At 36.4% G+C, this 14,064-nt stretch overlaps 1 protein-coding gene across 17 annotated transcripts in view; it reads left to right on the top strand.

The window, feature by feature from the left end:
• The window catches only part of INTS13 (integrator complex subunit 13), a 33,152-nt gene extending 23,941 nt beyond the window's left edge, over positions 1–9,211 (top strand). For 16 of the 17 annotated variants that reach the window (XM_024449055.2, XM_047429145.1, XM_047429146.1 and 13 more), the window contains 5 exons: positions 264–418; positions 705–935; positions 3,075–3,214; positions 7,955–8,090; positions 8,856–9,211. In XM_024449055.2, coding sequence (XP_024304823.1) covers positions 264–418; positions 705–935; positions 3,075–3,214; positions 7,955–8,090; positions 8,856–8,895 — 702 coding nt within the window. In that variant the 3' untranslated portion in view covers positions 8,896–9,211. Of the gene's footprint in view, positions 1–263; positions 419–704; positions 936–3,074; positions 3,215–7,954; positions 8,091–8,855 lie in introns of those variants that run through there. The other variant, XR_007063105.1, reaches the window with a different exon arrangement.
• The last annotated feature ends 4,853 nt before the right edge of the window (positions 9,212–14,064 follow it).

Raw genomic sequence — 14,064 nt, 5'->3', positions numbered from 1 at the left:
TTCAACTTTTCTTATAGATTAGTTATATATTCTTTATAGAAATCAATTAGACAATTTGTAATTTATACCATTTCTTAAGCAAAGAATGAAATATATGAGCTTGCTAAAGTTAAAGAATTAATAATTAAAAATTGAAGTGATAGTTATAGATTCCTTCACCATGATAATCTTTAAAATCCTTTCGAAAATCAAGTTCTGCCTAGATGTTTTGATATTTATTTTTCAAGACAGATTTTCTTTTTTCTTTAAAAAAAATCTAACAGGTAGTTCCATTAGCCAGTGTTATTGTGAAAGAATCTCTGACAGAAGAAGATGTGTTAAACTGTCAAAAAACAATATACAACTTAGTTGATATGGAAAGAAAAAATGATCCTCTACCTATTTCCACAGTTGGTACAAGAGGAAAGGGCCCTAAAAGGTACATTTTTTTTTCTTTCTTACTTTATAGATCACATTTACTTGATACATATTGTTTCTCAAGATAACTTATTCCATATGTAAATTCTATTTGAGGACATGTTTATATATATATTTGAGATGAAATAATACAAAATCATAGAAATGGATATATTGTAGCCTAGAATTTCACTATTAAGTACCAAGTAAGAGGAAGGAAGTCCACATTTCATTATTTGTTTTTACTTTACCACTAGAAAGTGACACTTCAATATTATTTAAAGAGTATTTCCAAATCTTTGCTGCAGAGATGAACAATACCGTATCATGTGGAATGAATTAGAAACCCTTGTCAGAGCCCATATCAACAACTCAGAGAAACATCAAAGAGTCTTGGAATGTCTGATGGCATGCAGGAGCAAACCCCCAGAAGAGGAAGAACGAAAGAAACGAGGAAGAAAGAGGGAAGACAAAGAGGACAAGTCAGAGAAAGCAGTGAAAGATTATGAACAGGAAAAGTCTTGGCAAGACTCAGAGAGGTGACTTCCTGGCATTGATATAGCACCATGGTGCCTTTTGTTATATCACATTCTGCATAGAACACTTTCATACATTCAAACCTGATTTAATAGTAGTTCATTTAATACATGTTTATTCATTTTCATTACTGTAATTTTATCATTCTTAAAATCTAGAGGATCTTTCTTGGGCACAAAAAAGTATGAATTTTTACTGTTGGGGCAAAGTTAGTGTTAGTTTTTCCTAATTAACTTCTGAAAATCATAATGCATGATGTTTGGTATCAGTATGTGCTTTATGTGTTGTGAACTTCACAGACATAATTTTATTCCTCTGTTCACTAAATATTTACTGAATGCTTATGATGTGCCAGGCATTTGGCACAAGATCCCTACCCTTGAAGAACATACAGTGTGATGCTAGAGACAGACAAATTAGTGATTGCAGGCTGGGTGCAGTGGTTCACACCTGTAATCCCAGCACTTTGGGAGGCCGAGGCGGGTGGATCACTTGAGGTCAGGAGTTTGAGACCAGCCTGGCCAACATGGCAAAATCCTGTCTCTACTTAAAAAAATACAAAAATCAGCTGGGTATGGGGGTGCATGCCTGTAATCTCAGCTACTCAAGGGGCTGAGGCACGAGAATCACGTGAACCTGGGAGGCAGAGGTTGCTGTGAGCCGAGATTCCTCCACTGCACTCCAGCCTGGGCAATAGAGTAAGACTTTGTCTCAAAAAAAAAAAAAAGTGATTGCAGCAAAGTGTGGAAGGTGCTATTATAAAAATAGGCATAGGATGTCCTTGGAAGCACAGAAGAAGGGCATACAGTCTATTCTGAAAATGTTTCTTAATAGTATACTCTTTTCCTTTAGTTTGTGATTTATATTATGATGTCAGCGTTAAATCTGAAAAACATAAAAGTAATAAAGGCTTATAAATAGAAATAGCGTATCCTCTGGCTATATCCTCTATCCACTTGCCAGAAATCAGACCAACACCAGGTCACTTTTTTTAAAATTAATTAATTTTTATTTATTTTTTTGAGACAGAGTCTCGCTCTATCACCCAGGCTGGAATGCAGTGGCATGATCTCGACTCACTGCAGCCTCTGCCTCCTGGGTTCAAGTGATTCTCATGCCTTAGCCTCTCAGGTAGCTGGGATTATAGGTATGTGCCACCATGCCTGGCCAATTTTTTGTATTTGTAGTAGAGATGGAGTTTCACCATGTTGCCCAGGCTGGTCTCGATCTCCTGACCTCAGGCGATCTGCCCATCTTGGTCTCCCAAAGTGCTTGGGATTACAGGCATGAGCCACTGCGACTGACGAAAAACACATCTTTTTATGATGGAAAATTTCAAACATATGTAGCAAAAGAACAGATAGTTACTCATCATCTACCTTCAATGATTAACAATTCATGGCAGATCTCATTTCATATATATCTTCATCCACTACCTTTACCACTACACCCATAGGAATATTTTGAAGCTAATTCTGGAAATCCTGTAATTGTATCCATTAATAATAGAATACTTTTATTCTCTTTGACTTTAGAAGCTCATGTTTTCCTTAGGGCTGCTGAGCTTCTGAAACACTACTGGCTCACTGTAAGAGGGAAAAAGTACTATCATTTAGGTCCCACTGAGCTTCAAGTACACTCTTGTATATTTTGCAAGTGTTTTTGTTCTCTGATGAAACTCTAAAAGTTTAGAGTTAAGTTTCTGATTTGCAGAACATAAATACATCTACACAATACATAGACTAGAGAATAAATGGGAATAAACTTATTAATCTTATTTGTAATTTGAAATTCAGTGTTATTTTGTTCCTATCTTTAAAAATCAGAATTGTGCAATTTCTTCTGAAGATCACATCATTTCCTACCTTTTAAATTTTAATTTAAGTATCTTCTTTTTTTTTATATTTTACAGCTAATTCCTGAATCATTGCATTATTATTATGAAGGAAAAGGGAAACTTGTATTTAATTCATTAATTTCTGTTACCTGGTTTTAGATTGAGATTTTTGATTAGTCCCTAGGTTTATTTTATGAGATTAGCCATCTTTTATAAAGGTTGATATGCAAAGTTAGTTTAATTATTAGACCATTAGACTTCTAAAAATTTGAACTTTACATTTCATTATTTGTCCCTCTAAAAGATTAAAAGGAATCTTAGAGCGTGGAAAAGAAGAATTGGCTGAAGCTGAGATTATAAAAGATTCGCCTGATTCCCCAGAACCTCCAAACAAAAAACCCCTTGTTGAAATGGATGAAACTCCACAAGTGGAAAAATCAAAAGGTAAGGTACAGCTGTGGTAACTAGGTTTATAAAAAGTTTTCCAGGCCGGGTGTGGTGGCTTACCCCTGTAATCCCAGCACTTTGGGAGGCTGAGGCAAGCAGATCACCTGAGGTCAGGAATTCAAGACCAGCCTGGCCAGCATGGTGAAACCCCACCTCTAATAAAAATACAAAATTAGGCGGGCATGGTGACACACACCTGTAATCCCAGCTACTTGGGAGGCTGAGGCTAGAGAGTCGCTTGCACCTGGGAGGCGGAGGTTGCAGTGAGCCAAGATCGCACCATTGCACTTCAGCCTGGGCGACAGAGCAAGACTCTGTTTCAGAAAAAAAAAAAATTTTCCAATGAAGCTCTGTTTTGTACAGTGTTATTTAATATTGTTGTGTATGTGAGGAAGAGTTCTTAAGTATTTGTGGGTGTTGTTTAGGACATTCTCTGTTTACAACCTGTATTAGTCCAGTCTTATGCTGCTAATAAAGATAAAAATACCCAAGACTGGGTAATTTTTAAAGGAAAGAGGTTTAATTGACTCACAGTTCCAGCATGGCTGGGAGGCCTCAGGAAACTTACAGGCATGGCAGAAGGAGAAGCAAACATGTCCTTCTTCACATGGCAGCAGCCAGGGGAAGGGCAGAGCAAAGGGAGAGGAAGCCCCTTATAAAACTATCAGATCTAGTGAGAACTCACTCACTATCACGAGAACAGCATGGAAATTTGGGTGGGGACACAGCCAAACCGTATCACAGCCTTAGAGAATACAGGCAGTAAATATATTTGTCAGTGTTAAAAACAAAAACAAGTAGTGTTATACTTTCATTAATGAAGCCTTTGGAAAATAAGCATATAAAGTTTGTGTTTTAAGAAATTTTAAATATGTAAACTTGAATCTGTTTATGTTCCTGATACTATAGTAAGAGCTGAGATATTGAATACAAACTCTTTTGACCCTAAACTCTTACGAAACCTAGAAATATGTAATATCACTCATTTATTGCTATATTAAAATGTGTTTGAGTTTCAGTGTAGTTATTATTATAAACAATATTTTCACTGTAAAGCCTCTTAATCTCTTATAGGCTAAAAAGTTTAGTTTCCTCTTGAAGGAATTCTAGGCACCAAGGATATGATTTGGGATTGGCAGCTCCTGAAATCGTTCTAGGCTTTAGTTATCTTGAAGGCAAACTAGATTTAGTCTTTTTAGGATACATGTGTAATGGTATGCCGTCATTAGACTACCTGATGTCCTGCCACTATGCCTCTCCTAAGGCAGTAGAACCAGCTTATGAATATTGGCAGCTCATCCTAGGGAGAAGGTAGGCTTGTTTGCTTTTTATATGCTTGTTATAGTGTATGTATATAGTGATACATGTTATATTCTTCAGTTCACTAGTTTCTTTGAAGCCAGAGATCACCCTTGAGGTGATCTTATTATATTTGCCTTTCAGGCATTTGCTAGAGGGCCCAGAAAATAATAGGATTTAAATAGATGTTTTTTGATAAATTATTTCTCATATGACAAAATATACCACTCTTCATTAGGATGAGAAATTTAGGTCTACTCTAAACAGTGTTTCAGCATTGCTTGGTAAATAGAACTCTAAGGAGTATTACTGAGGCAGAGATTGCAGTGAGCCAAGATGCCACTGCACTCCAGCCCAGGCGACAGAGTAAGACTCCATCTCTAAAAAAAAAAAAAAAAAAAAAGAGTATTATCTATACTGGCAAAAATTGCAAGCACCTAAAAGCCATATTAGTAGGAAAATGACTGAATAATGGTGTGTCCATAGGGTGGTATGTATGTATTTATTTATTTATTGAGATGGAGTCCACTCTTGTTGCCCAGGGTGGAGTGCAATGGCACGATCTCAGCCCAGTGCAGCCTCTGCCTCTTGGGTTCAAGTGATTCTCCTGCCTCAGCATCCCGAGTAGCTGGGATTATAGGTGCCTGCCACCACACCCAGCTAATTTTTATATTTTTAGTAGAGACAGGGTTTCACCATGTTGGTCAGGCTGGTCTCGAACTCCTGACCTCAGGTGATTCGCCTGCCTTAGCCTCCCAAAGTGCTGGGATTACAGGCATGAGTCCCTGCGCCCAGCCCCCACAGGGTGGTATTTATATAACCCAAGAATAATTATTGAATGAATGTGTAAATAAGTTTTTTTAAAGCAGGTTACATAAACATATGTACTGTGATCTCAATTTTAAGTTTTCATACACATATGTACTAGCTTGTCACTTAGATGAAATATCAGCTATCATTAAATTAAATGGATCCCTGATGTTTTTCGCCCTGGAAATATTATATGAAATAGCTCATATGAGAAGCAACTTGATTGCATATTACTGCCTTTCCTTGTAACTTTCTATTTGAGGCTGATATTTGAAAAGTGTTTGTTTTTTCCTTCATTCTATTTTATGACCTAAATTGCATGTCTCTTCTGATCAGCAACTGATCTGGGCCTTTTATTATACCTCAGTTTTATCTGCTTTGGAAAATGACTTTCCAGGCCTCCCCAAAGTGAATTTTGTGCCTGCTGTATACACTGTACTTAAGGCTAGGCTATTCCAAATGTGCCATCTAGATTTGGCAAACGTCTATTCAACTCTCTTTGTATGATGCAGTAACAAAAAAAAAAAACCAAAATAACCATTTGTTGATATAGATTGGCACTGAAAAAAAGACTAAAATTTTTAGTTGTTAGAGCAGTGGCATTAGGATGATTTTATTTCCTCCTTTATGTGTTTTATTGTTTTCTAAATTTGTTCTCATGAACATGCATTAGTTTTATAATAAGAAAACTAAGAATTTTAAAATATATATGACAATATTAGCTCTTTTTGATGTACAGTTCTGTGAGTTTAGACAATGCATACCGCCATCACAATCAGGGTACACAACAGTCTGTCACCCCAAAAGATTTCCTCATATTGACCCTTTGTAGTCATCTTTCACTCTCCTCCTCAATCCCTGTAGTCATCCTTCACTCTCCTCCTCAATCCCTGGTAACTACTGATATGTTTTCTCTTCCTATAATTGTGCTCCCTGTAATTTTTCGGAATGTCTTATAAATGAAAGAAAATGTCATGCCACCTTTTGAGATTGGCTTTTTTCACATAGTATTATAATGACTAATTTTATAAGAAACTGCCAGCTTATTTTTCCAAAGTGGTGGCACCATTTTGCATTCCCACCACCAGTATGTGAGAGTTCTGGGTGTTCTGCATCCTTGTCCAGTTGCTGTTGTCAGGGTTACTGTTTGTTTTGTTTTTGTTTTTCATCCTATAAGGTATGTAGTGGTATTTCATTGGTGTTTTAATTTACATTTCTCTCATGATTAATGATGGTAAAACTCTTTTCCTTTGCTTATTTGTTGTCTGTCTTCTTGGGTGAAAGGTCCATTAAAATATTTTGTACATTATAAAATTGGATTGTTTCTTATTAGTGGATTTTGAGAGTTGTTTATTTATCTGGATACAAGTTCTGTGTTGGACAGGTGATTTGCAAGTATTTTCACCCAGTCTGTGGGTTGTTCTTCTCTTATAAATGACTTTTGCACAACAGAAGCTTTTTATTTTGATGAAGTCAAGTACATCCATTTTTGCTTTTATGATTATGCTTTAGGTGTTACATGTTAGAAATCTAACCCAGGGTCACAAAGGCTGATTTTCTTTTAGGAGTTCTGTAATTTTAGATTTACATTTAGGTCATGATCAATTTTTGAGTTATTTTCTATAAGGTACAAAGTATGGGTCAATATTAATCCTTTTGCCTACGATGTCCTAATGTTCCAGCAGCATTTATTGAAAAGACTATCCTTTCTTCATTGAAATATTGTACATTTATCAGAAATTAGTTGACTATGTATGTGGGATCTGCTTCTGGATTCTCTTTTATATTCTGTTGGTTTATGTGGCCGTCCTTTCACCAATCCAGTACTGTCACAGTCACTTCAAATTAAGTCTTGTAATGAGGAAGTAAGAATCTTCTAACTTTTGTCTTCTTTTTCAAAATTGTTTTGGCTATTGTAATTCTTTTGCCTTATCATATTGTGCAGGAAAGAGTTAACATAGCAGGCCTGAGACTATTATAATTAGAAAAGCCTGCTTGCAGGTTTGGCTGTTGGCTGGCATCTGGGAACTTGGCTTTTGAGATATTGCCTAGATAATGAACTGAACACCTGCTTCCCTTCTGAAAGTCTGGAACTTTGGTCATTGTGGTTAGGCAGAGAATACCTACCTGATCAGCCCCCAGTAAAAACCCTGGACTCTACTCAAACAGGCTTTACTGGCAGAAATATTGTGCACATGTGGCTGCATGTTTGCCTATGGAGGTAGTATGCACTCTGCATAAACCTCATTGGAGAGAGTGAGCATGGGAAGCCTGCAAATGGATTCTGCCAGTCTCCACCTCATGTGTTCCTTCTGCTTACCGATCTGGCTGTGTCTCCTTACTGTAATGCTGTAATCATTCTTAACCAGGAGTGTAACTTTACATTTAGTCATTTGAGTCCTTCCATCAGTCACTGAACTAGTGGTTGCTCTTGGGGACCCTGAAACACATAAATTTTAGAGTAAGAGGAAAATGATTGCCTTAATCGTGTAAAATGAACTACAGAATTAACTGCCTTAATTGTGTAAAATGAACAACAGAATTAAAGGTAAGTTTGGAAATTTGGAAATTTGGAAATAATAAATTATTCTATCTTTTTTTTCTCTCTCCTTTTAAATATAACACTAGGGCCAGTGTCGTTATTATCCTTGTGGAGTAATAGAATCAATACTGCCAATTCCAGAAAACATCAGGAATTTGCTGGACGTTTGAACTCTGTTAATAACAGAGCTGAACTATATCAACATCTTAAAGAGGAAAATGGGTTTGTGTTACTTATTGTCAAAATTGGTTTTGTCAATTGCCTGTATAGTACCTTAACAATCATTGCTTATTTGTAATAATCAGCAGTTTTTTATTACTAATATTATGAACTAATACATGTTCCCCATAAGCAGAAAAAATTAACCTCTTTGATTCTTGCTTCTAAAAGGCTTAGTTATATTGATTGTAACCCTGAAAGTATTTACTCCTTAGAGCATTTCTTTTTAATGCTTAATAAACATTACAGAGGGAAAAATCATACCACTTAGGATATAATGCCAGTCTCTGTAAAATAACAGAGGAAAATGTTTTCCTATTAAGGAATACAATATTAAGAATATTGATTATAGTAAAATAAATCTCAGATCTGATTATTTTGATTTTTTTAGAAGAAATCCTCTTAATTTGTTGGTGGAAATACATTTATTTAGTGGGGAAGGAAATAAATTCTTGATGAAATTGTAGAGATTTTTTCCTTAGTTTTGCTTGGAAAGGGAGAGTGTGGTATAGTCAAACAAACAAACAAAAAACAGTGGCCTTTGACTTGTAACCTTGGGAAAGTCACTTAGTCTCTCAAGGCCTCAATTTTCACTGTAAAATGAAGAAATTGGCCTAGCTAGAGGAACCCTGATGTTAGTCCTTTCCTAAAATGCTGATGTTCTGTTCTGTGAATATATTATTTTAATTTTCATGTGAAAGGTAGATAAGGAGACAAAATGTTAATGAATATTTATTTTATCAACTCGTTTTTTTCTTCCTATTTCAGGATGGAGACAACAGAAAATGGAAAAGCCAGCCGGCAGTGAAGAGTGACTTGAAGAACTAAATTTAGCATATTGCAAAAATATTTTGTGCGGAATTCGATATAAGTACTTTTACAGCAAGATGGTATAGTTATGTTGCCTGGACTGGTTTTTACATTTTTAAAATATTTCAGCTGTCATTTTTGTACTAATTATAAAATTGGCACATAATTCAAAAATATACATTTGAGATGATTTGTCCTCCCAAATTATACAAGTTTATTTTATGGTATAAAGTGTTCTCTCTGGAAATGTTTTTAAAAAAATTCTTAGGCTTCTCTTTGCGAAATAAAACTATTAAAATATTTGAAATGCAAAACATTGGAGAATTACTTTAGAAGATACTTTAGTTACTTAATGACTGAAAACAACCTATAGGAATTTTTAAAAATTTGATGAGAGTTTAAGATTTGCAATACTTAATATAAAATTTTGCCTATTAAGCTGCATCATATATTGTGCTTTTCTAAAAAAGAACATTGTTTTTATCTTGTTTTAAGTTATTTTGCATATGTGTTCTTACCCATTTAAAAGTAGAGCTTTCAGGTAGGTTGTATAATTTTATATTTACTAGTATTGGGTAGTTTTACTCTTTATATTTTTCTGCAAAATATTTTCCATCCATTTGCTTTTCTTATTGAAAGAGAAGCGTAAAGGAAATTACTTCACAGATTTAGAAGAAAGAAAAGTTACTAGGTTGATTTTATCTCTGGATAGAATCTTAGTCTCATTTCTCAGAGATGTCATGGTTACATGTTATATGTTTCTTGGGCCTTTTTCCTGTGCTGCTTCATCTAGAAGTTTATAACATGTTACAAAAGGTAGGTTATTTCAATGTTAAATGCTAATTGTAAGTTTGCCATTTTTTTCCTTGAGTGTTTATTAGAGAAAGGAAGCTCTTTATACAGACTCAGTATTTTCTTTTTTTTTTTTTTTTGAGACGAAGTCTCGCACTGTCGCCCAGGCTGGAGTGCAGTGGCGCGATATTGGCTCACTGCAACTTCTGCCTCCCGGGTTCACACCATTCTCCTGCCTCAGCCTCCCAAGTAGCTGGGACCACAGGCGCCCACCACCACGCCTGGCTAATTTTTTGTATTTTTAGTAGAGACAGGGTTTCACCGTGTTAGCCAGGATAGTCTCAATCTCCTGACCTCATGATCTGCCTGCCTCGGCCTCCCAAAGTGCTGGGATTACAGGCCTGAGCCACTGCACCCGGCCCTCAGTATTTTCTATTGAAAAAAAAAAAAAAACAACTGGTCTTTACACAGGGGTTCAGCAGCCTTCCAGGTCAGCCTGGTGAAATTGACATTGCTCTCCTTTATCAACTCCTGTCTCATTCTCAGTCCTCTTCCCTCAGATAGAGCTACTTTTACTCCATTCCACTGTGTTTAGATATACATTGACACAAACCATACACAGGCAGGGCCAGGCCTAATTAACATCTTAGACTTTCGGGGTTTAAGGAACCATAACCCAATAGCTAATTAATAGATCATATTTACTTTTCAGTGGGCTCTGACCTTTTATTTATTTATTTTTAAATTATACTTTAAGTTCTGGGATACATGTACAGAACGTGCAGGTTTGTTACATAGCTATACGTGTGCCATGGTGGTTTGCTGCACCCATCAACTCATCATCTACATTAGGTATTTCTCCTTATCTTATCCTTCCCCTTGTTCCCCCACCCCCCCGACAGGCCCCAGTGTGTGATGTTCCCCTTTCTGTGCCCATATGTTCTCATTGTTCAGCTCCTACTTATGAGTGAGAACATGCAGTATTTGGTTTTCTGTTCCTGTGTTAGTTTACTGAGAATGATGGTTTCCGGCTTCATCCATGTCCCTGCAAAGGACATGAACTCATCCTTTTTTATGGCTGCATAGTATTCCATGGTGTATATGTGCCACATTTTCTTTATCCAGTCTAACATTGATGAGCATTTGTATTGGTTCCAAGTCTTTGCTATTGTGAACAGTGCTGCAACGAACATACGTGTGCATGTGTCTTTATGGTAGAATGATATGTAATCCTTTGGGTATATACCCAGTAATGGGATTGCTGAGTCAAATGGTATTTCTGGTTCTAGATCCTTGAGGAATTGCCACACCGTCTTCCACAATGGTTGAACTAATTTACCCTCCCACCAACAGTGTAAAAGCGTTCCTATTTCTTCACATCCTCTCCAACATCTGTTGTTTCCTGACTTTTTAATGATTGCCATTCTAACTGGCATGAGATGTGATCTCATTGTGGTTTTGATTTGCATTTCTCTAATGACCAGTGATGATGAGCTTTTTTTCGTATGTTTGTTGGCCACAAATGTCTTCTTTTGTGAAGTGTCTATTCATATTCTTCGCCCACTTTTTGATGGGGTTGTTTTTTTCTTGTAAATTTGTTTTAAGTTCCTTGTAGATTCTGTATATTAGCCCTTTGTTCGATGGATAGATTGCAAAAACTTTCTCCCATTCTGTAGGTTGCCTGTTCACTCTGATGATAGTTTCTTTTGCTGTGCAGAAGCTCTTTAGTTTAACTAGATCCCATTTGTCAATTTTGACTTTTGTTTCCATTGCTTTTGATGTTTTAGTCATGAAGTCTTTGCCCATGCCTGTGTCCTGAATAGTATTGCCTTGGTTTTCCTCTTGGGTTTTTATGGTTTTAGTTCTTACATTTAAATCTTTAATCCATCTTGAGTTCATTTTTTTTTAAGGTGTAAGGAAGGGATCCAGTTTCAGTTTTCTGCATATGGCTTGCTGGTTTTCCCAACATCATTTATTAAATAGGGAATCCTTTCCTCATTGTTTGTTTGTGTCAGGTTTGTCAATGATCAGATGGTTGTAGATGTGTGGTGTTATTTTGGAGGCCTCTGTTCTATTTTGTTTGTCTATATATCTGTTTCGGTACCAGTACCATGCTGTTTTGGTTACTGTAGCCTTGTAATATAGTTTGAAGTCACATAGCATGATGCCTCCAGCTTTGTTCCTTTTACTTAGGATTGTCTTGGCTATACGGGCTCTTTTTTGGTTCCATATGAAATTTAAAGTAGTTTTTTTTCTAATTCTGTGAAGAAAATCAATCGTAGCTTGATGGGAATAGCATTGAATCTATAAATTACTTTGGGCAGTATGGCCATTTTCACGATATTGATTCTTCCTATCCATGAGCATGTAATGTTTTTCCATTTGTTTGTGTCCTCTCTTATTTCCTTGAGCAGTAGTTTGTAGTTCTTCTTGAAGAGGTCCTTCATGTCCCTTGTAAGTTGTATTCATAGGTAATTTATTCTCTTTGTAGAAATTGTGAATGGGAGTTTGCTCATGATTTGGCTTTCTATTTGTCTGTTATTGGTGTATAGGAATGTTTGTGATTTTCGCAACATTTATTTTGTATCCTGAGAGTTTGCTGAAGTTGCCTATCAGCTTAAGGAGTTTTTGGGCTGAGACGATGGGGTTTTTTAAATATACAATGATGTCATCTGCAAACAGAGATAATTTGACTTTCTCTCTTCCTATTTGAATACGCTTTATTTCTTTCTCTTGCCTGATTGCCCTGCCAGAACTTCTAATACTTTGTTGAATAGGAGTGGTGAGAGAGGGCATCCTTGTCTTGTGCCGGATTTCAAAGGGAATGCTTTCAGCTTTTGCCCATTCAGTATGACATGGGCTGTGGGTTTGTCATAAATAGCTGTTATTACTTTGAGATAGGTTCCATCAATACCTACTTTATTGAGTGTTTTTAGCATGAAGGGGTGCTAAATTTTATCAAAGGCCTTCTCTGCATCTGTTGAAATAATCATGTGGTTTTTGTCATTGGTTCTGTTCATGTGATGGATTACATTTATTGATATGCGTATGTTGAACCAGCCTTGCATCCCAGGGATGAAGCCGACTTGATTATGGTGAATAAGCTTTTTAATGTGCTGCTGGATTCAGTTTGCCAGTGTTTTATTGAGGATTTTCACATCGATGCTTATCAGGGATATTGGCCTGAAATTTTCTTTTTTTGTTGTGTCCCTGCTGGGTTTTGGAATCAGGATGATGCTGGCCTCATAAAATGAGTTAGGGAGGATTCCCTCTTTTACTGTTGTTTGGAATAGTTTCAGAAGGAATGGTACCAGCTCCTCTCTGTACCTCTGGTAGGATTCAGCTGTGAATCCATCTGGTCCTGGGCTTTTTTTGGTTGGTAGGCTATTCATTACTGCCTTAATTTCAGAACTTATTATTGGTCTATTCAGGGATTCGACTTCTTCCTGGTTTAGTCTTGGGAGGGTGTATGTGTCTAGGAATTTTTCCAGTTTTTCTAGATTTTCTAGTTTATTTGGGTAGAGGTGTTTATAGTATTCTCTGATGGTAGTTTGTATTTCTGTAGGATCAGTGGTTCTTCTTTATCATTTTTTATTGTGTCTATTGGATTCTTCTCTCTTTTCTTCTTTATTAGTCTGGCTAGCGGTTTATTTTGTTAATCTTTTCCAAAAACCACCTCCTGGATTCACTGATTTTTTTGAAGGGTTTTTCGTGTCTCTATCTCCTTCAGTTCTGCTCTGATCTTAGTTACTTCTTGTCTTCTGCTAGCTTTTGAATTTGTTTGCTCTTGCTTCTATAGTTCTTTTAATTGTGATGTTAGGGTGTCAATTTTAGATCTTTCCCGCTTTCTCTTGTGGGCATTTAGTGCTTTAAATTTCCTTCCGAACACTGCTTTAGCTGTGTCCCGGAGATTCTGGTACATTGTGTCTTCATTCTCATTGGTTTCAAAGAACTTATTTATTTCTGCCTTAATTTTGTTATGTACCCAGTAGTCATTCAGGAGCAAGTTGTTCAGTTTCCATGTAGCTGTGTGGTTTTGAGTGAGTTTCTTAATCCTGAGTTCTAATTTGCTTGCACTGTGGTCTGAGAGACTGTTATGATTTCCATTCTTTTGCATTTGCTGAGGAGTGTTTTACTTCCAATTATGTGGTCAGTTTTAGAATAAGTGTGATGTGGTGCTGAGAATAATGTATATTCTGTTGATTTGAGGTGGAGAGTCCTGTAGATGTCCATTAGGTCCACTTGGTCCAGAGCTGAGTTCAAGTCCTGAATATCCTTGTTAATTTTCTGTCTTGTTGATCTGTCTAATATTGACAGTGGGATGTTAAAGTCTCCAACTATTATTGTGTGGGAGTCTAAGTCTCTTTGTAGGTCT

Source organism: Homo sapiens, chromosome 12 (assembly GCF_000001405.40).
Source record: "Homo sapiens chromosome 12, GRCh38.p14 Primary Assembly".
Lineage (NCBI taxonomy): Eukaryota > Metazoa > Chordata > Mammalia > Primates > Hominidae > Homo > Homo sapiens.
Note: the sequence above shows the minus strand (reverse complement) of the source record. Positions and strands in the feature narration are given on the sequence as shown.